This window comes from Homo sapiens, chromosome 1 (genome assembly GCF_000001405.40).
Source record: "Homo sapiens chromosome 1, GRCh38.p14 Primary Assembly".
Taxonomy (NCBI): Eukaryota; Metazoa; Chordata; class Mammalia; order Primates; family Hominidae; genus Homo; species Homo sapiens.
In genome coordinates this window covers 113,555,845-113,581,554 of record NC_000001.11, presented here as the reverse complement: position 1 = coordinate 113,581,554, position 25,710 = coordinate 113,555,845, and the positions used below count along the sequence as shown (strand labels likewise).

General features: G+C 38.3%; 1 protein-coding gene and 1 pseudogene across 5 annotated transcripts in view; one reads left to right on the top strand and one right to left on the bottom strand.

Annotated features, from left to right (window-relative positions):
* Positions 1-25,710, bottom strand: part of MAGI3 (membrane associated guanylate kinase, WW and PDZ domain containing 3) — a 295,409-nt gene that overhangs the window by 104,369 nt on the left and 165,330 nt on the right. For all 5 annotated transcript variants that reach the window (XM_017000974.2, NM_152900.3, XM_005270737.4 and 2 more), the window contains exon 3: positions 894-1,013. In XM_017000974.2, coding sequence (XP_016856463.1) covers positions 894-1,013 — 120 coding nt within the window. The remainder of the gene's footprint in view (positions 1-893; positions 1,014-25,710) is intronic.
* MTND5P20 (MT-ND5 pseudogene 20) lies at positions 4,661-4,804 on the top strand (annotated as a pseudogene).

Genomic DNA, 25,710 nt, shown 5'->3' with positions numbered 1-25,710 from the left:
CTACAAAAGAAGAAATGATGAGATTTGGCAAATGGATGTGAAATGTGAGAAAAAGGAGAAAGTAAATAATGATTTCACTGTTCTGAGATCATGGTGCTGCTAAAGAGAGAAATGATGAAGAATTTCTCTTTTGGATAGAACACAAATGCATATTTAGATACGCTGAATTCCAGGTTAGATATTTATTGAACACTATCTTTAGGCACTGAAGATAATATCAAGTAAGAAAGACATGACCATTACTATCACAGAGCTTATAAACAGGCAATTATAATAGTATGAAAAAGCAATAATGGACCATAGCGTAGGGTGCTATGGAAGTGGATAAGCTTGCCAGGGAAGGGTATGTTACATAAGGGGAAAAATAGATCTAACAGAGTCATTTAAAAATGGAAATTGATCTCAAATATCAAATATCAATGGAATCAAGTGGGTAGAGGAAACAGAAATGAAAAGAAAACCAATTATTCTGTTTTTGTTGTTTTCTCCCCAAATTTTATATTCTCTTTTTTCCAGGATAGTCAAGGTACATGTAAGTTTTTTAAAGTACAGATTTTGAATTCCAACCACAAATAAAATGCAATCAACAAATACTCACTGAGTTCACATGATGAATGTGAATTACTATGAAATATATAAACTGGCCAGTCTGGCTGATTTTTAGTATACTGTTCACAATCAACTTTAAAATATGATGGATTTTTTTTGCTTATTATTTAATCCCATTTTAATTAATAAATTACAAATCTCCCCATCAAAAGAAAATTTTCTCAAAAACAGAGAGGAAAAAAAGTTTTTCAAAAAGTGGTACTTTACTGGTCAAATTCCCTCTGAAATAATTCCAGTCGTTCAGATAGTTTTTTGGGTGGTAGTGATGTTATTTGGGGACATACCATCATATGTCCCACTTTCTAACAATGCTCCACTCTCTTCCAGTGCTTTGAACTGTTCAACGGAAATGAAATTATAATCCACTCCTGGTACTTCTCCATCCCTGGGGGCCCTTGTAGTGCCTAAGAAAAAAGAAAAAAAAAAGTAGGTTGTAAAGTACTTTTAAACTTACAAAATATTCAAAGTAAAAGAATATTCAGTTTGTAGAGAACACATAAGAGATGTTTCATTCCCCTGCCCCAACTTTATTAAGGTAAAATTCACAGATAAAATTGTATATATTTATAGCATACAACATGTTTTGATACATGTGCACACCTGGTGAAAGACAGACTTATTTTAAAGTAGTTATCCTACTTAATTTTTTCATCTCTAGCATAAATGTAAACATTCTACTTACTAGAGTCATGAAAGACAAAAAATAATATTTTTTATAAGTTATTTTAATGAACTTTATTTTTAAAAGTTGGACAAACACTGGTTATAAAGTTACTTTATATGTGAATAAAAGGCTTAAGATAGGTATTCACATATGGCTTCTTAGCCATTATTCTCTTCAAGTAATTTTTAAAAATTAAGCAGTAAGTAAATTGTTTCATAAAATTAACTACAGTAACAGATCACTAAATGCTAAAGTACAATCTTTCAGCTTCAAGGTGTAAATTCAGGTTATGGCAGCATTGCTACATTTGACTGAATTTTACTAAACAAGAGTCACTTTTACACAATGTCATTTCAAATACTAGATAATACAAAGAGATACAGGATTTTCACTGGGAATTGGTTGCAAGTCTAGGACAAGAACACTTTCCTTCTCAAACCTGTTCCTCCACTTAGGCCCCTATTCAGTAATAGCACTCCAGGTAGGAAATCTGAGAGTCAGTCGTCTTGGGCTCTTCCCTCTACTCCACATCCAGTCACCAAATCTACCTCATAAGTATTTCTAAATACTTCTTTTCATTCCCATAATCACTGAATTCATATCATTATCTAGGACCTTTATTGTTGGTACCCCTAGGTCAACCTTTACTTCTTCCCAGCTACACTCCTCCTAGTCACTGCAGTCAGTGACTTTTCTAAAACACAGTCTGAGGAAACAAACAAAATCTCTCTCTAAACCTATCAATGGCTTCCCATGATCCTTGGCATAAAATCCAGATTCTATAACAACACATTTTACAAAGCCCTTTGTGATCTGGCCCCTGGCAACCTCCCCAAATTCTTTCTTGCCTCATTCCTTTCACATTAGGCTTTAGTATACTACATATATTTTTCAATTATTTTAATGTTCCTTTCACTCACATACTTTCAAGGTCGTTGTCATGTCCCCAGAGGACTTCCTACTCCCTTTCCCACTCTCACCTCAGCTAACTTCTACTCATCCTTCAGGTCCTGGCTTAGAAAGTTCCTTTAGAGAACCTTCCCTGATTTCTATCTAGGGTATGGCAACATGCAGAAACCATGTCGATTTGATTCAGAGTAATAGCCCCAAGTCTTGACACAGTGCAAAGATCACAGTAGGTGCTGAATATACATAGCTGTCAAATAAATTAAGTGAAATTGTAAACAAATGCATTTAGGACAGTGCCTGGCAATATGCTCTTATTATTACTGTAAGTTAATTCATGGGAAACTCTTAATTGCTCCTACTGTTTTTAGTCACATTACATTCTATTATATTCTGTAACATGCACAAAAAAAAACAAAGATTATGATAACAAATTAATGGTAATAATCTGAGAAAATAATGATTATGTCAACATTCTGTGCAACAAAGACTATATTGAATTTTCTCCCCCATTTTTTAACCCAATTTTTTTTTCTAAAAATAAGCATTTCTTTACCTGTTTTACATCATAGAGGATATAAAATCTGGAAAACAGCTTTTTTCCTTTAATTTTTAATACGTTTTTTATTTTCAAATTTTTATATTTCTCATTATTGACCAAAACTACATTGTTAGATTCTCTGAATCAACAGCTTCTTAGCTCCATATTAAATAAAAGTTAACATTAGACATTAACTCAAGCCTGGGCAACATAGTAAGACCTCGTCTCTATAAAAAAATTTTTAAAATTAGCCAGGTATAGTGATGCACACCAGTAGTCCTAGCCACTCGTGAGGCTGAGGTGGGAAGATAATTTGAGACCAGGAGTTGAAGGATGCAGTGATGCAGTGGGTTATCATTGCAGCACCACTGCACTCCAGCCTTGACGACAGAGTGAGATCCTGTCTCTTAAAAAAAAAAGGAAATTCAAGGATTAAAATTATAATTTGTAATTATCTATGACAGATGGAAAAAATATGATGACGATATTCTGCACCTCCTAAGAGGTGGGGCCTGTTGCCTCATCCCTTGAATTTGGACTGGATTGATGATATGCTTTGATTAATTTAATGTAAAGGCTGTGATGTTGTCCAAGTTTAGGGATCTAGACTTCCATATTCACCCTCTTGGAATGCTCCTGCTACCATGCAAGGAAGTCCAGGCTAGACTACTGAGTGATAAAGAGAGCCCAAGCCAACAAAAAGCAGCAAGGCCCCAGACACATGAATGAGGCCATCTTAGCCCCTCCAGCTCCAGTTGAGCTGTCAATGATTATAGCCACATGAATGGTCCCGACTGAGCCCAACTCATGAAATCATGAGAAATAAACATCACTATTTTAAGCCACTAAGTTTTAGGGTAGTCTGTTATACAGCAAAGGCTAATTGAGATATCCAAATAAACTCCACTATAAAACATAATGACTAAAAAACAATTTAAAAGCAAGCCATATTATAGATAATACTATAAAAACAGCACTGATCGAAAGGGCAGGAGGAACTCTGTTTTGGTCTGTGATTATTATTAACGGCACAATTTAGGCAACTACTTAATCTCTTTTGGCTTTCTCTTTCTGCAAGGTGGTGTTGAGCAGGATGTTGTCCATGATTCTTTTCATGGACAGATATGAATGGTATGTGTAATTCTACCATATATTTCTAAGACTAGAAAATAGTTTTAATGTTAATTCTCTTTACAAAGTATTATAAATTTTCACTCCCCCCACAAAACCATACAACCCAATACACATAAAGTTATCTTCCTTCCTTCACCCCATTACTTTTCGCATTCCATAAAATTTATCTTTATATTCTCCTAATACTGTATATTTTATATAAAGCTTTCTACATCCCCCCTCACCCCCACTTCTCACCACATTTCTCCTTTATACATAAAAATTGCTCCGAAGAGTTCTTTGGAGCCATACACAGTCTCCAATTCTCCTCTCACTGTCTCCTGAGCCTATTCAAATAAGATCTTTTCCCCAACCATTCACTGAGACAATGTGCTATGTTTCAACAATAGTCTCCACTTTGCTGAACTCAATGGCCAAGTCTTACCCTCATCTTAACTGACCTATGAATAACATTTGACATAACTGATCATTTACCCTTTCTGTTTAGTTACAAGCAAATCAACCCAAGCAAAAAGCAGAACATTACCAGGACCTCAAAAACCTTCTTGTGTGTCTCTGATGATAAACCTCTCCCTCCCTCCATCCTCAAAAGTGACTACCATCTTGACATCTGTGATGATTTCCTTTCCTTTTTAATGATTGTACCAACTAAATAATGCATTTTTAAGCAACATAGCTTAGTTTTGCCACTTTTGCAACCTCGTATGAATGGAATCACATAACATGCATTCTCTTCTGTCCACACCAATACTTGTCATGAGGCTTATAAGATTTTTCCAATATCCTGGGTGTGTAAAGTCACTTCACTGTTTATTTAATCCCACACTTTCTTTAAAGCCATACTATTCATATGCTCCGGATATATCATCCACAACCTCAACAATGAACAAGACATCCGAAAAATAGGAGGGCTACTCAAGATTTTACCCTTCACTTCAACCTCATAAAGCAATTGCTTTATGAGATTAAACATTCTTTTTAATACATTTAGAAGCCATATAGATTTCCTCTGTTGTGAAGTGGTTATTCAAGTCTTTCCCCATTTCTCTGTTGGGTTTGTGTCTTTAAAATTGATTTGTGGGAGCTGGCAAGATGCCCAAATAGGAAAAGCTCTGGTCTGCAGCTCCCAGCAACACCAACACAGAAGGTGGGTGGTTTCTCCATTTCCAACTGAGGTACCCAGATAATCTCGTTGGGACTGGTTAGACAGTGGGTGCAGCTCGCGGAGGGTGAGCAGAAGCAGGGTGGGGCAGCGCCTCATCCAGGAAGCACAAGGAGCCAGGGAACTCCCTCCCCTAACCAAGGGAAGCCATGAGGGACTGTGCTACCTGGCCCAAATACTATGCTTTTCCCACAGCTTTTGCAACCTGCAGACCAGGAAATTCCCTCGTGTGCCTACACCACCAGGGCCCTGGGTTTCAAGCACGAAACGAGGCGGCTGTTTGGGCAGACATTGAGCTAGCTGCAGGAGTTTTTTTTTGTACTCCAGTGAGACAGAACTGTTCACTTCCCTGCAAAGGGGGCTGAAGCCAGGGAGCCAAGTGGTCTTGGTCAGTGGGTCCCACTCCCACAGAGCCCAGCAAGCTAAGAACCACTGGCTTGAAATTCTCAGTGCCAGCACAGCAGTCTGAAGTCCACCTGGGATGATCGAGCTTGGTGGGGGGAGGGGCATCCACCATGGCAGAGACTTGAGTAGGTGGTTTTCCCCTCACAGTGTTAAGGAAGCCGCCAGGAAGTTCGGACTGTGTGGAACTCACTGCAGCGCAGAAAAACGGCTGTGGCCAGACTGCCTCTCTAGATTCCTCCTCACTGGGCAGGGCATCTCTGAAAGAAAGGCAGCAGCCCCAGTCAGGGGCTTATAGATAAAACTCTCATCTCCCTGGGACAGAGCACCTGGGGGAAGGGGCAGCTGTGGGTGCAGCTTCAGTAACTTAAATGTTCCTGCCTGCCGACTCTGAAGAGAGCAGCAGATCTCCCAGCACACTGCTCAAGCTCTGCTAAGGGACAGACTGCCTCCTCAAGTGGGTCCCTGACCCCCATGCCTTCTGACCGGGAGACACCTCCCAGTAGGAGTCAACAGACACCTCATACAGGAGAGCTCTGGCTGGCATCAGGTGGGTGCCCCTCTGGGAGGAAGTTTCCAGAGGAAGGAGCAGGCAGCAATCTTTGCTGTTCTGCAGCCTCTGCTGGTGATACCAGGCAAACAGGGTCTGGAGTGGACCTCTAGCAAACTCCAGCAGACCTGCAGAAGAGGGGCCTGACTATTAGAAGGGAAACTAACAAACAGAAAGCAATAACATGAACATTAACCAAAAGGACGCTCACCCAAAAACCCCATCCAAAGGCCATCAGCATCAAAGATCAAAGGTAGATAAATCCACAAAGATGAGGAAAAACCAGTACAAAAATGCTGAAAATTCCAAAAACCAGAATGCTTCTTCTCCTCCAAATAATCACAACTCCTCTCTGACAAGGGCACAAAACTGGACAGAGAATGAGTTTGATGAATTGACAGAAGTAGGCTTCAGGAGGTGGGTAATAACAAACTCCTCTGAGCTAAAGGACCATCTTCTAACCCAATGCAAGGAAGCTAAGAGCATTGATAAAAGGTTACAGGAACTGCTAACTAGAATAACCAGTTTAGAGAAAAACATAAATGACCTGATGGAGCTGAAAAACACAGCACGAGAACTTCATGAAGTATATACAAGTATCAATAAGCAAATCAATCAAGTGGAAGAACGGATATCAGAGACTGAAGATCAACTTAATGAAATAAAGCATAAAGACAAAATTAGAGAAAAAAGAATGAAAAGGAACAAACAAAGCTTCCAAGAAATATGAGACTATGTGAAAAGGCCAAACCTATGATTGACTGGTATACCTGAAAGTGACAGGGAGAATGGGACCAAGTTGGAAAACACACTTCAGGATATTATCCAGGAGAACCTCCGCAACCTAGCAAGAGAGGCCAACTTTCAAATTCAGGAAATATAGAGAACACTACTAAGATACTCCTTGGGAAAAGCAATCACAAGACACATGATCGTCAGATTCTCTAAGGTTGAAATGAAGGAAAAAATGTTAAGGGCAGCCAGAGAGAAAGGTCAGACTACCTACAAAGGAAGCCCATCAGACTCACAGCAGATCTCTGCAGAAACCCTTCAAGCCAGAAGAGAGTAGGCGACCAATATTCAACATTCTTAAAGAAAAGGATTTTCAACCCAGAATTTCAAATCTATCCAAACTAAGCTTCAGAAGTGAGGGAGAAATAAAATCCTTTACAGACAAGCAAATGCTGAGGGATTTTGTCACCAACAGGCCTGCCTTACTCCTGAAGGAAGCATTAAATATGGAAAGGAAAAATTGGTACCAGCCACTGCAAAGACATACCAAAATATAAAGACCAACAACCCTATGAAGAAACTGCATCGACTAATGTGCAAAATAACCAGCTAGCATCATGATGACAGGATATAATTAATACATAACAATATTAACCTTAAATGTAAATGGGCTGAATACCCCAATTAAAAGACACAGACTGGCAAATTGGATAAAGGAGTCAAGACCTTTTGGTGTGCTGTATTCAGGAGACCCATCTCATGTGCAAAGAGACACACACAGGCTCAAAATAAATGGATGGAGGAATATTTACCAAGCAAATGGAAAGAAAAAAAAAGGCAGGGGTTGCAATCTTAGTCTCTGATAAAACAGACTTTAAACCAACAAAGATCAAAAGAGACAAAGAAGGGCATTACATAATGGTAAAGGGATCCATGCAACAAGAGCTAACTATCCCAAATATGTATGCACCCAATACAGGAGCACCCAGATTCATAAAGCAAGTTCTTAGAGACCTACAAAGAGACTTAGATTCCCACACAATAATAGTGGGAGACTATAACACCCCACTGTCAATATTAGGCAAATCAACAAGACAGAAAATTAACAAGGATATTTAGGATTTGAACTCAGCTCTGGACCAAGCAGACCTAATAGACATCTACTGAACTATTCACCCCAAATCAACAGAATATACATTCTTCTCAGCACATCACACTTATTCTAAAATCAACCACATAATTGGAAATAAAACACTCCTCAGCAAATGCAAAAGAACGGAAATCATAACAAACGCTCTCTCGGACCACAGTGCAATCAAATTGGAACTCAGGATTAAGAAACTCACCCAAAACTGCACAACTACTTAGAAACTGAAAAACCTGCTCCTGAATGACTACTGGGTAAATAACGAAATTAAGGAAGAAATAAAGATGTTCTTTGAAACCAATGAGAACAAAGACAAAATGTACCAGAATCTCTGGGACACAGCTAAAGCAGTGTTTAGACGGAAGCTTATAGCACTGAATGCCCACATCGGAAAACTGGAAAGATCTAAAATAGACAACCTAATGTCACAATTAAAAGAACTAGAGAAGCAAGAGCAAACAAATTCAAAAGCTAGCCGAACAGGGCTGGGTGCAATGGCTCACGCCTGTAATCCCAGCACTTTGGGAGGCTGAGGCAGGCAGATCACGAGGTCAGGAGATCGAGACCATCCTGGCTAAAACGGTGAAACCCTGTCTCTACTAAAAATACAAAAAATTAGCAGGGTGTAGTGGCGGGCACCTGTAGTCCCAGCTACTTGGGAGGCTGAGGCAGGAGAATGGTGTGAACCCAGGAGGCGGAGCTTGCAGTGAGCCGAGATTGTGCCACTGCACTCCAGCCTGGGTGACAGAGTGAGACTCTGTCTCAAAAAAAAAAAGCTAGCAGAACAGAAGAAATAACCAAGATCAAAGCAGAACTGAAGATGATAGAGACATGAAACACCCTCCAAAAAATCAATGAATCCAGGAGCTGGTTTTTTGAAAAGATTAACAAAACAGGCAACTAGCCAGAATAAAAAAGAAGAAAAGAGAGAAGAATCAAATAAATGCAATAAAAAATGATAAAGGGGATATCACCACTGATCCCACAGAAATACAAACTACCTTCAGAGAATACCATAAATGCCTCTATACAAATAAACTAGAAAATCTAGAAGAAATGGATAAATTCCTGGACACATACATCCTCCCAAGACTAAACCAGGAAGAAGTCGAACTCCTGAATAGACCAGTAACAAGTTCTGAAATTGAGGCAGTAATTAATAGCCTACCAACCAAAAAAAGCACAGGATCAGAGGGATTCACAGCCAAATTCTACCAGAGGTACAAAGAGGAGCTGGTACCATTCCTTTTGAAACTCTTCCAAACAATAGAAAAAGAGGGACTCCTCCCTAACTCATTTTATGAGTCCAGCATCATCCTGATACCAAAACCTGGCAGAACACAACAAAAAAAGAAAGTTTCAGGTCAATATCCCTAATGAACATCGATGCGAAAAACCTCAATAAAATACTGGCAAACTGAATCCAGCAGCACATAGAAAAGCTCATCCACCACGATCCAGTTGGCTTCATGCCTGGGATGCAACGCTGGTTCAACATATGCAAATCAATAAACATAATCCATCACATAAACAGAACAAATGACAAAAACCACATGATTATCTCAATAGATGCAGAAAAGGCCTTCAATAATATTCAATACACCTTCATGCTAAAAACTCTCAATAAACTGGGCATTGATGGAACATATCTCAAAATAATAAGAGCTATTTATGACAAACCCACAGCCAATATCATACTGAATGGACAAAAGCTGGAAGCATTCTCTTTGAAAACTGGCACAAGAAAAGGATCCCCTCTCTCACCACTCCTATTCAACGTAGTATTGGAAGTTCTGGCCAGGGCAATTAGGCAAGAGAAAGAAATAAAGGGTATTCAAATAGGAAGAGAGGAAGTCAATTTTTCTCTGTTTGCAGATGACATGGTTGTATATTTAGAAAACCCCATCTTCTCAGCCCAAAAACTCCTTAAGCTGATAAGCAACTTCAGGAAAGTCTCAGGATACAAAAATCAATGTGCAAAAATCACAAGCATTCCTATACACCAATGATAGGCAAACAGAGAGCCAAATCATGAGTGAACTCCCATGCACAATTGCTACAAAGAGAATAAAATACCTAGGAATCCAACTTACAAGGGACATGAAGGACCTCTTCAAGGAGAACTACAAACCACTGCTCAAGGAAATACGAGAGGACACAAACAAATGGAAAAACATTCCATGCTCATGAATAGGAAAAACCGATATTGTGAAAATGGCCACACTGCCCAAAGTAATTTATAGATTCAATGCTATCCCCATCAAGCTACCATTAACTTTCTTCACATAACTAGAAAAAACTACTTTAAATTTCATATGGAAACAAAAAGACCTCATATAGCCAAGACAATCCTAAGCAAAAGGAACAAAGCTGGAGGCGTCACACCACCTGTCTTCAAACTATACTACAAGGGTAAAGTAACCAAAACAATATGGTATTGGTACCAAAACCGATACATAGAACAATGGAATGGAACAGAGGCCTCAGACATGACACCACATATCTATAACCATCTAATCTTCAACAAACCTGACAAAAACAAGAAATGGGGAAAGGATTCCCTATTTAATAAATGGTGTTGTGAAAACTGGCTAGCCATATGCAGAAAACTGAAACTGGACTCCTTCCTTACACCTTACACAAAAATTAATTCAAGATGGATTAAAGACTTAAACGTAAGACCTAAAACCATAAAAACCCTAGAAGAAAACCTAGGCAATACCATTCAGGACGTAGGCATGGGCAAAGACTTCATGACTAAAACACCAAAAACAATAGCAACAAAAGCCAAAATTGACAAATGGTATCTAATTAAACTAAAGAGCTTCTGCACAGCAAAAGAAACTATCATCAGAGTGAACAGGCAACCTATAGAATGGGAGAAAATTTTTGCATTCTATCCATCTGACAAAGGTATGATATCCAGAATCTACAAGGAACTTAAACAAATTTACATGAAAAAAACAAACTACCCCATCAAAAATTGGGCGAAGGATATGAACAGACACTTCTCAAAAGAAGACATTTATGTGGCCAACAAACATATGAAAAAAAGCTCATCATCACTGGTCATTACAGAGATGCAAATCAAAACCACAACAAGACACCATCTCACATCAGTTAGAATGGCGATTATTAAAAAGTCAGGAAATGACAGATGCTGGAGAGGATGTGGAGAAATAGGAACGTTTTTACACTGTTAGTGGGAGTGTAAATTAGTTCAACCATTGTGGAAGACACTGTGGCGATTCCTCAAGGATCTAGAACTAGAAATACCATTTGACCCAGCAATTCCATTACTGGGTATATACTCAAAAGATTATAAATCCTTCTACTATAAAGACACATGCACATGTATGTTTATTGCAGCACTATTCACAATAGCAAAGACTTGGAACCAACCCAAGTGCCCATCAATGATAGAATGGATAAAGAAAATGTGGCACAGGGACACCATGGAATACTATCCAGCCATAAAAAGGGATGAGTTCATGTCCTTTGCAAGGACATGGGTGAAGCTAGAAACCATCATTCTCAGCAAACTAACACAGGAACAGAAAACCAAACACCACATGTTCTCACTCATAAGTGGGAGTTGAACAATGAGAACACATGGACACAGGGAGGGCAACATCACACACTGGGGTCTGTCGGGGTGTGGGGGGCAAGGGGTGAAAGAGCACTAGGACAAATACCTAATGCATGTGAGGCTTAAAATCTAGATGATAGGTTGATGGGTGCAGCAAACCACCATGGCACATGCATACCTATGCAACAAACCTGCACATTCTGCACATGTATTCCAGAACTTAAAGTATAATAAAAAATAAAATAAAATTGATTTATAATTCTTTATATTCTGAATATTATAGTAAATCATCAAATCTAAGTAACCAACCCCTTCTAAACTGCATCATTATTTTATCTCTAAGAAAGAAAAAACCCTGGCAATTATAATTGAAAGATTTCATCTATTCTAAGATGCTTCCCAACTGTAGAGATGTTAAAATGTGAAATAACTGTCTTAGTATTGATGAAGTACTGTGATCCATTGTCAGACATATGTATTGCAAATGGGGGATTTCTGTGAAATATGTTTTCTTGAAATAGTACTTTCTGAAAAATCATGCACCCATAATAAGAGAGATTATGAAGAAAATAGAGTCATGGTTGACTTCTCAAAACCTTTGCAACTTTGTAACTAGAACACTAACAAAATAAATAATGGTCCTAATTTAAAATATTAATACAGTTTAAAAGACATGTTAAATTCCCAATTAAAAATAACAGAGTAAATAAAATACTGGTCTTTTAAGAAAATGAAAGGAATGAAAAGAAAAGGTGGCTTGACAGAAACGGGTATAAGAAAGTGTTAGGCTACTAAATAATGAAGATAGGGCAAATAGTGCAATAAAGATTTTTAAAACAGAACACATGGTCAAACAGAAAAGAGGATAAATTGAAGTGTATAGGTATCATATACACTGCCATATTCTTCCTCAGCTGCAATATTCAGTTGTGTTCTTTTATTTTATTTACTTGTAGCTATTTGATGATAAAAAACATTAGCTTGCTGAGGAAAATGGCATAGAAACTAGTATAACCTGAGTTAAATTCATGTCATTTTCTACATATGTGCCAATCACATGTAAACTTTTTTGTACTGCAGAAATAAATGTAGAGGAACAGAGAGTATCTTGTCACATTCTGATTTTTTCACCTTTTTAAGAAATTGTATTTTGATGACAGAAGCTCTTAATTTTAATGTAGTCAAATGTATAAATCTTTTCCTTTACAGCTAATGGTTTTTGTGTCTAGTTGAAAAAAATCCTTTCCTAAAGCTATGGAGATATTCTATATTCTTTTTAAAAAGCACTACAGGTTTGCCTTTCACACCTAGGACTTTAACACAAAAAACAGATGGTGGGGATGGGGGAGCTGGTGAGAAGTACCAGTCTAATTTCCTTTTTTTCCAAATGACTACTCAAAATAATTTATTAAAAGTCATTAATTTCCCTTCTGATCAGCCACAGCACTTCTTTCATGGAAATGTCTATATAAGCTTGGGTGTTTACTACTAGGCTTTCTATCTACTGACCATTCTGGTATCATTATCAGTGTTATAATTATTCTATTTTCCTAATAAATCTTGATATATAGTATAGCAAGTCCACCTATCTTGCTTTTTGTATTCAAAGCCTGTCCATATACATTCTAGAATCAGATAAACAGGCTAAAAAGGCTGAAATTTTTATGGAATTACATTGAATCTACAAGTCAATTTGAGCAGAACTGGTATCTTTGCCATACTGCCTTTAATTCATGAATAAGAAATTTCTGTCAGCATATTTAGATCTTCTTTAGCATCCCTCAATTTCACACTATAGAGGACTTACGTTTCATTAGAGGTTAATTTCTAGGTATTTTTAAAAAACTTATATGCTATGGTAAGTAATATTTTCATAAACTTTCATTTTCTAAATATTGATGGTATGAAAGAAATAATTTACCTACAATAGAATGCACTAATTCTAATAGTACAATTATGTGAACTTTGGAAACCATTATCCCCCAAAGTTTCCTTGGGCCTCTTTGTAGTCCTCCACTCTGGGCAGTTACTGACCTACTGTCAGTATAGTTTTGCCTTTAATATAATTTAATACAAATGGAATCATACATTAATTTGATTCCAGTAGTTGTCTGGCTTCTTTTACTTAGCATAATGCTTTTGAGATTCACCCATGTTGTTCAAATTCTTTTTACATTTAAGATGTTATCTGCAAAGAGAGATCTTTTAAGTCTTTTCTAAGTTGAATGCCTTTTATTTCTTTTTGCTGTCTTATTACTCTGGCTAGAATTTCCAGTACTATGTTGAATAGTAATGGCAAGACCAGGCATCCTTGCTTTATTGCAGGATCTCACAGGAAAAGCCTTCTGTCTTTTCCTGTTAAGCATAATGTTAGCTTTTATTATGTTGAGGTAGTTTCCTTCTACTCCTAATTTGTTGAGTATTTTTAAAAATCCTGATAGGGTACTGAATTTTGCTTTTCTGTATTGAGATGTTAATGTGGCATAATATATTGACTGAGTCTTATATGTTGAACCATCCTTGCATTCCAGGCATAAATTTTAGCTGGTCAAGATGTATGATTTTTTAATGTGCAATATAATTTGGTTTGCTAGTATTTTCTTTAGAATTTTTGTGTCAAATATCCATCAGGGATATTGGCCTGTAGTTCTCCTTTATTGTGTCTTTGTCTGGTTTTGTTATCAGGGTAATGAGTTTAAATGAGTTTGAGAGTGTCCCTTTCTCTTCCGTTCACTGGAAGAATTTGAGAAGGACTGGTATTAACTGTTTGGTAGAATTCTCCAGGGGACCCACCTGGTCCTGGGCTTTTCTTTGTTGGGAGGTTTTTGATTACTGCTTTAATCTCCACACTCATTATAGGTCTTTTCAGATTTTTTATTTCTTTATGATTCAGTCTTGGTAGGTTTATATCTCTAAAACTTTATCCATTTCTTCTAGATCATCCAATTTGTGGGCATCTAACTTTTCACTACAGCAGTCTTTATAATTCTTTTCATTTCTGTGACATCAGTTATAATATCTCCTTTTTCATTTTTAATTTTAGAAATTTAAGTCTTTTTTTCTTAATCTAAGTAAGGGTTTATCAATTTTAGTGATTTTCTTTTTAAAAAAAAACAACTCCTGGTTTGGTTGATTTTTTTCTTTTTTTTTAATGTTTTCTATTCAGTTTATCTCTGCTCTAGTCTTTATTATTTCCTTCTTTGTGCTGACTTTGGATTTAGTTCATTCTTATTTGTCTAATTCCTTAAGGTATAAGATTAGGTTGGTGACTTGAGATTTTTCTTCTCTTTTAATCTGTTTACTGCTATAAACTTCCCTCTTAGTACTGCTTTTACTATATTCCATAAGTTTTAGTATGTTGTATCTTTTTAAAAAATTTATCTCCAGGTATTTCCTAAATTCTCTCATGATCCACTGGTTGTTTAAGAACACACTGTTTACTTTCCATGTATTTGCAAATTTTCCTGTTTTCTTTCTGCTAATTAATTTTAGTTTCATTCCATTATGGTCAGAGATGATACTTTGCATAATTTAAATCTTAAATTTATTAAGACTTGTTTTGTGGTCTAATGTGGTTTATCATAGAGAATCTTCCATGCATGCTTGATAAGAGTGTATATTCTGCTGTTATTGGATGAAATGTTCTGTATGTCGGTTAGGTCCATTTGGTCTTGTATTGTTCAAGTCCTCTGTTTCCTCATTGATCTTTTGTCTTGTTTTATTCAGTTGGTATTCTACTGTATGAATATACCAAAATTAATTATCCATTCACCAATGATGGAAATTTGGGTTGTTTCCACATTTGGGCTATAATAAATAAAGCTGCTATTAACTTACATGACTTTGGGTAGACATATATTTAAATGTATGTTGAGTTAATACCTAGGAGTGAAATTACTAGGTATTATGGTTAAGTGTATGTTTAATTTGATAAGAAAACATCACATTATTTTCCAAAGTAGATGTCTTTGCATTCCCACCTGCAATATATGAGAGCTGCGGTTGATTTATGTTACTAAGTAGGAATTCCTTCTGGAGTTTCTAGGGTAATTTGCTTTCTCTAAATTTACAACAAATCAGTTGATATGAAAAATGACAAAAAAAGTTCTAATTCTCCTGCACAAACTAAAGTTTAATAATTTGACATAGAGACATCTGGCTTGAAGAAATCAGCTGATATCAAATGAAAGCAAGAGCAGGAAACACTGAAAGGCAGAATCAAAGGTTAAGGTTGATATTTCCAGGAACCAGGACAGAAGCATGTGGGAGAGTAGTAGTCACAATACACTCAAGTCAGTCTTACTTGCAGCTGTTCCCACAAGTGTGTGCTCATGGCCATATCTGCTAGTGGTGGGTCTTTCTTACATAAAACAATACTAATAAGATGATATGTATATTATACTTCATATAAATCCTATAAGTTGAGTTCCAAGAAATAACAAGTTTGGAGGCTAAGTAAGTCCTTAAATTGGCAGTTTCAACACACAACTCTGTGTAATGCTGTTAACCATGCTCAGAAATCTAAATGTTAGGTTATTTGAATACTATCCAATAATATTTTCTGGCATTTTTCACTGATTATTTGTTACAAGCTTCAGTGCTTTGTAAATATTTAACAGAAAAAATGCAAAGAGAGAAAGTGAATGCTGTTGTGGAACATTCCAACATGAAATAAGAAACGGATCTAAAATCTGAAATAAAAGCAATATATTTAATAGATTTCAACGGCAAAATCAAAATCAGGAGAAGCAGACGAAATGCTTTCAGAATTAAAAAAGAAAATGAGATTACATGAAACAACATACTTTGTAATGCCCGATATGAGGATGTTTTTGGATACATTCTTAATAATTTGATGAATGTCAGTGCAAAATGAAATACATTTTTTTCTGGCATATTTATCACCAAACAAAGATCAAGACCATCAGATAAAACAATTGATACTTTGTGCTTTAAAATTTCATTTCAGGGTTGGGCTCGGTGGCTCACACCTGCAATCCCAGCACTTTGGGAGGCTGAGGCGGGCGGATCACCTGAGGTCAGGAGTTTGAGACCAGCCTGGCCAACATGGTGAAACCCCATCTCTACTAAAAATACAAAAATTTGCAGGGCATGGTGGCGCACACCTGTAATCCCAGCTACTCAGGAGGCTGAGGCAGGAGAATCACTTGAACCTGGGAGGTGGAGGTTGCAGTGAGCTGAGATCGTGCCACTGTACTCTAGCCTGGGCAACAGAGCAAGACTCTGTCTCAAAAATAAATAAATAAATCAAAAATAAATAAATAAATAAATAACTACAATTTTAGGTATGAAAAATTCAAATACTAAATACGTATGTGATTATCTTTCAAATTTTAAATGATTTTTATTTGGTATTTATTTTGTGTTAATGCTTCCATTCATTCATTTGTTTTAGAGGTGCAGTCTTGCTATGTTGCCCAGGCTGATCTTGAACTCCTGGCTTCAAGAGTTCCTTCCGCCTCAGCCTCCCAAAGTGCTGGGACTACAGGTGTGAGCCAACATGCCCAACCAATGTCTCCTTAAGTTTTTCTATTATCAGACATCTGTATCAAGTAGAGATCATTGAAAAATAGTAACAAAATCTTATTTTATTAGTTCATAATAATAACAACAATAGTAAACCATTTGATTTTATCTTGCCAGTTTCTCTCTGTAAGCACTTGCCACACAGGAGAATCTATCCTAAACTACAGTGTTCGTAGCCATAACTACTGCCATAACAGTCAAGTGCAGCAGTCATTTGGGCTCTCAAGGTACTGGGTTCATTTGTCATTTCTTCACAATCAACCATAAGTGATACTGTAATTAAATTGTGATGCCATGGCTTCTCATGAATTATCAGCATCCCACCTCTCATTGGAAGAAACTTGGCACTCCACGTAAGATCAGCCAAGACAACCAAAACCAATTCTGAAATCCCTTCTTAGAGGTTCTGTCTCCTGGGAGCGCTACTAGTACTAATTCTGTATCAAGATCCAGAGAAGAGAGAGAAACCACATGGCAATCTGAACAGAGACAGTTTAATATACAGAATTGTTAACTGTTTACAGGGAATTAACTAAGTAGGAATAAACGAGGACTCTAAAGAATATCACCCTAAAGCTGAGGGAGAATATTTAAATAAGGAACAAACTTGGAAGGGAGGGACTCTCCCAAGGTCTGGGATTTAGACCTCATTGAAGAGGGTATGGTAACAGCCCACTGGATGGTGGGGAATTTTCCTGGGTTGCCTGAGGACAGAGCTAGTTCACAGTTAGTGGGTCAGGGATTTAACAGGCAGGAAACTGCATGGGGTATCAGTGAAATTCGCCAGCAAGCTACCTATGGTGGTGAGTGAGGTTTGTGAATAGAAAACCAGCTAAGACATTGGCTGGACTTGCGAGAAACCCATAGGAAAACTGGTTCTCAGAGGATGTTGCTGAAAACTGGGGGACCAAATGGGATGTCACAGAACTCACCAGGAAACTATAAGTCAGCTGGTGCACTGCTGGTACTCATGAAATCACCTATCAGGGTGTTGCTGAACTTGCTGTAAGGAAGTCTCCTGCAGGTGTGCCACTGAACTTGTCACAGGGAAGCTGACTGCTAGGGTACTGCTGAAACTTGCTGGGTGTCTTTTTGGATAGCAGGAGCAAAAAGAAAAAGACACACTGGAACCAGGAAAAGAACTCTCTTCTTTCTCCAGTATCCTTTCTGTGCTCGCTATTGAAAGCTTAACACTGTGCCAATGGACAGGAGACAAATGTTACAGTATCACAAGCAGGCAAAAAAGTAGATTTATAGCCAAGAGGCAATGGGTAATAAATGGCAGACTAGTTTTCTGACAGATTCTGTCATAAATGGGAGTTGAATTTTGCCAAATAACTTTTCTGCATCTATTGAAAAAATTAATTGGTTTTTGTTTTCTAATATTACTATATTAATTTTCAAATGTTATACCAACTTGGCATTCCTGAAACAAACTCCACTTGATCATAATGTATTATCCTTTTACATATTGCTATATATATTGACTTGCTAAAATACTGTTAAGAATTTTTGAGTCTACATTCAAGAAAAATTTTAGCCTAACATTTTCTTTTAATATTTTTATCTGATTTTAGAATCAGAATCATGTTCACAACACAGAATGAGTTGGGAAATGTTCCCTCCACTATTTTCTAGAAGAGTTTGTGTAGAATTGGTATTATTTCTTTCTTAAATATTCAGAACAATTTACCAGTATCACCTGGGCCTAAAGTTTTCTGTTTTCCAACTTTTAAGTTCAGGGGTACATGCACAGGTTGTGCAGGTTTGTTACATAAACGTGTGCCATGGTATTAGCTGCACAGATCATCCTATCACCTACATATTAAGCCCAGCATTCATTAGCTATTCTTACTGATGCTGTCCTTCCTCCCACCCGCAACCCTCCAACAGGCCCCAGTGTGTGTTGTTCCCCACCATGTGTCCATGTGTTCTCATCATTCAGCTCTCAATTATAAGTGAGAACATCTGATTTTCTGTTCCAAATGAATTTTAAAATAGTTTTTTTCTAATTCTGTGAAGAATGTCAATGTTAGTTTAATGGGAATAGCACTGAATCTATAAATTACTTTGGGCAGTATGGCCATTTTGATGATACTGATTCTTCCTATTCATAAGTATGGAATGTTTTTCCATTTGTTTGTGTCATCATCTCTGATTTCTTTTTTTTTGAGATGGAGTCTCGCGGTCTCCCAGGCTAGAGTGCAGTGGCACGATCTCAGCTCATTGCAAGCTCCACCTCCCAGGTTCATGCCATTCTCCTGCCTCAGCCTCCTCAGTAGCTGGGACTATTGGCGCCCGCCACCATGCCTGGCTAATTTTTTTGTTTTGGTAGAGACGGGGTTTCACCGTGTTAGCCAGGATGGTCTCGATCTCCTGACCTCGTGATCTGCCCGCCTTGGCCTCCCAAAGTGCTGGGATTACAGGCGTGAGCCACCATGCTCAGCCATCATCATCTCTGATTTCTTTGAGCAGTCGTTTGTAGTTCTCCTTGAAGAGGTCATTCACTTCCCTTGTTAGCTGTATTTCTAGGTATTTTATTCTTTTTTATGGCAATTGTGAATGGGAGTTCATTCTGGATTTTGGCTCTCAGCTTGCCTGTTGTTGATATATAGGAATGCTAGCAATTTTTGCACATTGATTTTGTACCCTGAGATTTTGCTGAAGTTGCCTATCAGTTTAAGAAGCTTTTGGGCAGAAACGGTGGAATTTTCTAGATATAGGAGATCATGTCATCGGCAAACAGGGATAGTTTGACTTCCTCTTCCTATATGAATATGCTTTCTTTCTTTCTTTTTCTTGATCGCCCTGGTCAGAACTTCCAAAACTATATTGAATAGGAGTGGTGAAAGAGGGCATCCTTGTCTTGTGCTGGTTTTCAAGGGGAATGGTTCCAGCTTTTGCCCATTCGGTATGATATTGGCTGTGGGTCTGTCATAAATGGCTCTTATTATTTTGAGATATGTTTCTTCAATATCTAGTTTATTGAGAATTTTTAACCTGAAGGGTTGTTAAATTTTATCAAAGGCCTTTTCTGCATCTATTGAGATAATCGTGGTTTTTGTCTTTAGTTCTATTTATGTGGTGAATTACGTTTATTGATTTGTGTATGTTGAACCAGCCTTGCATCCTCGGGATAAAGCTGACTTGATTGTGGTGGATAAGTTTTTTGATGTGCTGTTGGATTCGGTTTGCCAGTATTTTACTGAGGGTTTTTGCATTGATGTTCATTAGGGATACTGGCCTGAAGTTTTCTTTTTTTGTTGTATCTCTGCCAGGTTTTGGTATCAGGATGATGCTGGCCTCATAAAATGGTTAGGGAGGAGTCCCTCCTTTTCAATTGTTTGGAATAGCTTCAGAAGAAATGGTGCCAGCTCCTCTTTGTACCTCTGGTAGAATTCAGCTATAAATCCATCTGGTCCTGGGCTTTTTTTGGTTGGTAGGCTATTTATTACTGCCTCAATTTCAGAACTGGCTATTGGTCTCTTCAGGGAATCAATTTCTTCCTGGTTCAGCCTTGACAGGGTGTATATGTCCAGGAATTTATCCATTTTCTTCTAGATTTTCTAGTTTATTTGCAAAGAGGTGTTTATAGTATTTTCTGATGGTTGTTTGTATTTCTGTGGGGTCAGTGGTGGTATTCCCCCTTATCATTTCTGATTGTGTTTATTTGAATCTTCTCTCTTTTCTTGTTTATTAATCTAGCTTGAAGTCTATTTTATTATTTTTTTCAAAAACCCAGCTCCTAGATTTGTTGATTTTTTGAAGGGTTTTTCATGTCTCTGTCTGCTTCAGTCCAGCTCTGATCTTGGTTATTTCTTGTCTTCTTCTAGCTTTGGGGTTTGTTTGCTCTTGGTTCTCTAGTTCTTTTAGTTGTGATGTTAGGTTGTTAACTTGAGATCTTTCTAGCCTTTTGATGTGGACATTTAGTACTATAAATTTCCCTCTTAACACTGCTTTAGCTGTATCTCAGAGATTCTGATGTGTTGTCTTTTTGTTCTCACTGGTTTCAAAGAACTTCTTGATTTCTGTCTTAATTTCATTATTTACCCAAGAATCATGCAAGAGCAGGTTGTTCAATTTCCATGTAGTTGTATGGTTTTAAGTGAACTTCTTTCTTTCTTTCCTTTTTTCTTTTTTTGTTTTATTGTTTTTTTGGTTTTTTTTGTTTGTTTTTGTTTTTTTGTTTGTTTTTTAAGATGGAGTCTCGCTCTGTGACTCAGGCAGGAGTGCAGTGGCACAATCTCAGCTCACTGCAACCTCTGCCTCCCAGGTTCAAGCGATTCTCCTGCCTCAGCCCCGAGTAGCTAGGACTACAGGAGTGTGCCACCATACTCAACTAATTTTTGAGTGAATTTCTTAATCTTGATTTCTAATTTGATTGCACTGTGGTCTGAGAGATTGTTATGATTTCAGTTCTTTTGCATTTGCTGAGGAGTGTTTTACTTCTGATTATGTGATCAGTTTTAGACTAAGTGCCATGCAGTGATGAGAAGAATGTATATTCTGTTGTTTTGGGGTGGAGAGTTCTGTAGATAACTATCGGGTCCTCTTGATCCAGAGCTGAATTCAGGTCCTGAATATCTTTGTTAATTTTCCGTCTCAATGATCTGCCTACTATTGTCAGTGGGTGTTAAAGTCTCCTACGATTATTGTGTGGGAGTCTAAGTCTCTTTGAAGGTCCCTAAGAACTTGCTTTATGGCCAGGCACAGTGGCTCATGCCTGTAATCACAGGACTTTGGCAGGCCAAGATGAGTAGACCACTTGAGGTCAGGAATTCGAGACCAGCCCAGCCAACATGGTGAAACTCTGTCTCTACCAAAAAAATACAAAAAATTAGCCAAGTGTGGTGGTGGGCACCTATAGTCCCAGCTATTCAGGAGGCTGAAGCAGGAGAATTGCTTGAATCCAGGAGGCGGAGGCTGCAGTGAGCCAAGATCGCACCACTGCACTTCAGCCTGGGCGACAGAGTGAGACTCCCTCTCAAAAAAAAACAAAAAAAAGGAACTTTATGAATCTGGGTGCTCCTGTATCGGGAGCATATATATTTAGGGTAGTTGGCTCTTATTGTTGAATTGAACCCTTTACCATTATGTAATGCCCTTCTTTGACTTTTCTGATCTTTGTTAGTTTAAAGTCTATTTTAAAGTCTGTTGGTTGAAGTCTATTTTGTCTGAAACTAGAATTGCTTTTTTCCATTGGCTTGATAAATTTTCCTCCATCCCTTTATTTTGAGCCTATGTGTGTCTTTGCATGTGAGATGGGTCTCTTGAAGACAGTATATTGATGGATCTTGACTCTTTATACAGCTTGCTATTCTGTGTCTTTTAATTGGGGCATTTAGCCCATTTATATTTAAGGATAGCATGGTTATGTGTGGATTTGATCCTGTCATCATGATGCTAGCTGGTTATTTTGCAGACTTGTTTATGGTGGCTGCTTCATAACGTCACTGGTCTGTGCACCACAGTGTATTTTTGTAGTGGTTGGTAATGATGCTTTTTCCTTTTCATATTTAGTGTTTCCTTAAGGTGCTTTTGCAAGGCAGGTCTAGCAGTAATGAATTCCCTTAGCATTTGCTTGTCTGTAAAGGATATTAATTCTCCTTTGCTTATGAAGCTTGGTTTGGCCAGATATGAAATTCTGGGTTGGTAATGTTGACTACTGGCCCCAATCTCTTCTGGCTTGCAGGGTTTCTGCTGAGAGGTCCACTGTTTTTATCTGGTGGCTTCCCTTTGTATGTGACCTGGCCTTTCTCTCTGGCTGTGCTTAACATTTTTTCTTTCATTTCAACCTTAGAGAATCTGATTATGAATTGTCTTGGGGATGATTTTCTCATGGAGTATCTTACTGGGGTTCTCTGCATTTCCTGAATTTGAATGTTGGCTTGGCCTGTCTTGCTAGGTTGGGGAAGTTCTCTTTGATGATATCCTGAAGTATGTTTTCCAACTTGGTTCCATTCTCCCCATCATTTTCAGGTACCCCAGTCAGTCGTAGATTTGGTCTCTTTATATAATCCCTGATTTCTCGGAGGTTTTGTTCATTCATTTTCATTCTTTTTTCTTTATTCTTGTCTGCCTGTCTTAATTCAGAAAGCCAGTCTTCCAGCTCTTAGGTTCTTTTCCCCGCTTGGTTTATTCTGCTATGAATACTTGTGATTGCATTGAGAAGTTCTTGTAGTGTGTTTTCAGCTATAACAGGGGGTTATGTTCCTCTCTAAAATGGCTTTGGCTGTCAGCTCCTGTACTGTTCTATGATAATTCTTAGCTTCTTTGCATTGGGTTACAATGTGCTCCTTTAGCTCAGTGAAGTTCATTATTAACCATCTTCTAAAGCCTACTTCTCTCATTTCAGCCATCTCAGCCTTAGCCTGGTTCTGAGACCTTGCTGGAGAAGTGTTGTGGTCATTTGGAGGAGAGGGGGTACCCTAGCTTTTTGAGTTTTCAGCTTTTTTTGCATTGATTCTTTCTCATCATTGTGGGCTTATGTACCTTTGATCTTTGAGGTTGCTGATCTTTGGATGGGGTTTTTGTGGTTTTTCTTCGTTGCTGTTTTCTGTTTATTTGTTTGTTTTTCTTTTAACAGTCTGGCCACTCTTCTGCAGGGCTGCTGGAGCGTGCTGGGGGTCTGCTCCAGACCCTAGTTGCCTTGGTTCTTCCTGTACCTGGAGGTATTGCCAGTGAAGTCTGCAAAACAGCAAGGATGGCAGCTTGCTGCTTCCTCTGGAAGCTCTGTCCCAGGTGGGTACTGAACTACTGCCAGCCCGAACGTACCTGTAGGAGGTGGCTGGATACTCCAGTAAGGAGGTCTCACCCAGTCAGGACGAATGGCATCAGTGTGGCTGCTTTTTGGTAAAGGAGTTGTGTTGTGTTGTGTTGGGGATCCCTTCAGCTCCCTATTGGTCTGGGCTCTCCAAGGCCTACAGGTTGGACCCGTTGACGAGCCCAAACGGCCAAGGTGGCAGCTTGCCCACCCCTCAGGCACTCTGTCCCAGGGAGAAATTGGAGCTCTGTCAGTTCCATAGAACATGGGTGGTGGCTGGAGGCCCTGGCTGTGAAGAGCCAGCTGGGAGGATCAGCTGAGATGAGGAGCGGATCAGAGTCCCGCTTAAAGAAACAGTCTGGCCACACCTCAACAAAACAGCTGTGTCCTGGTGGAGAACCACTTCTGCCCATCAGCTTGGACTCTCCAAAGCCTGCAGGCTGGAACAGTTGAGTCATCCATCCAACCCAGGTGGCAGCCCTCCCCTCCCTGGGGCACTCCATCCCAGGGAGAGATCAGAGCTCTGTCCATAGTATGTGCCAGTGGGCATGGCTGAAGGGCCCAACTGGGAGTCCCTGCCCAGTGAGAAGGAAGTGATCCAGGCTGCTTAAAGCAGCAGTCTGGTCATGATCTGGCAAAGCCACTATGTTGTGCTGCTGGGGGGACGCTCCCTTGTCTGAAACTTTTGGACTCTCCAAAGCCCGCAGGCTGGAATGGCTGAGTCGACCAAACAGCAGAGATGGTGCCTACCCCTCTCTGCTAAAGTTTTCTTTATAGGAAAGTTAAAAACTAAAATTCAATTTCTTTAATAGATAGAGGATTTTTCAGCTCACCTATTTCTTCATGAGTGAGCACTGGTAGTTTTTGTCTTCTAAAGAATTTGTCCATTTCATCTAAGTTGTTGAGTTTATTGGCATAAAGTTATTCAGAATATTCCTTATTAGGCCGGGTGTGGGGCCTCACGTCTGTAATTCCAACACTTTGGGAGGCCAAGGCCAGAGGATCGCTTGAGCTCAAGAGTTTGAGACCAGCCTAGGCAACATAGCAAGATGTCGTCTCTAATAAGAATTAAAAAAAAATTAGCTGGGCATGGTGGCACACATCTGTAGTTCCAGTAACTGAGGAAGTTGAGGCAAGAGGATAACTTGAGCCCAGGAGATGGAAGAAATGGAAGTTGAGCTCTAATCACATCATTGAATTCCAGGACCTGGGTGACAGAGTGAGACTCTGTCTCAAAAAAAAAAAAAAAAAAAAAATCTTTATCATACACTTACACACTTAACATCTATAGGATTTTCAGTGATGTCACCTCTCTCATTCCTGATATTGTTTTCTTTTGTAGTGACAGAGTCTCACTATTTGCCCAGGCTTGTCTCAAACTCCTGGACTCAAGCAATCCTCCTGCTTCAGCCTCCCAAAGCACTGGGATTACAGGCATGAGCCACTGCACCCGGCCTCCGGATAGCACTAATTTGTGCTTAATTTCTTCCTAAGCAGTCTAGCTAGAGGTTTATCACTTTTATTGATCTCAAAGAATGAGCTTTGTATTTCATTGGTTTTTTTCTATTTTCTATTGCACTGGTTTCTACTTTTTATTATTTTCTTCCTTCTACTTAAAATAAGTATTTTCCTCCTTCTTTTTAAGATTCTCAAGGTAGAATTTTAGATCACTAATTTGAAATCTTCATTATTTTCTAATATAAGTATTTAATACTGTAAGTTTCCATTTAAATACTACTCTAGCTACAACCTACAAATTTTCATATATTGTGTTTGATACATTTCAATTTGTTGGTTGATATGTGTAATATTTTGTAATCTCCTTTGTGATTTATTCAACTCACAGTTTATTTAGAAGTGTGCTATTAATTATTAATTTCTGAATATCTTTCTGTTAGTAATTTCTTTCTTTCTCTATTTTTTTTAAGAGACAGGGTCTCATTCCTGACATGATTATAGCTCAC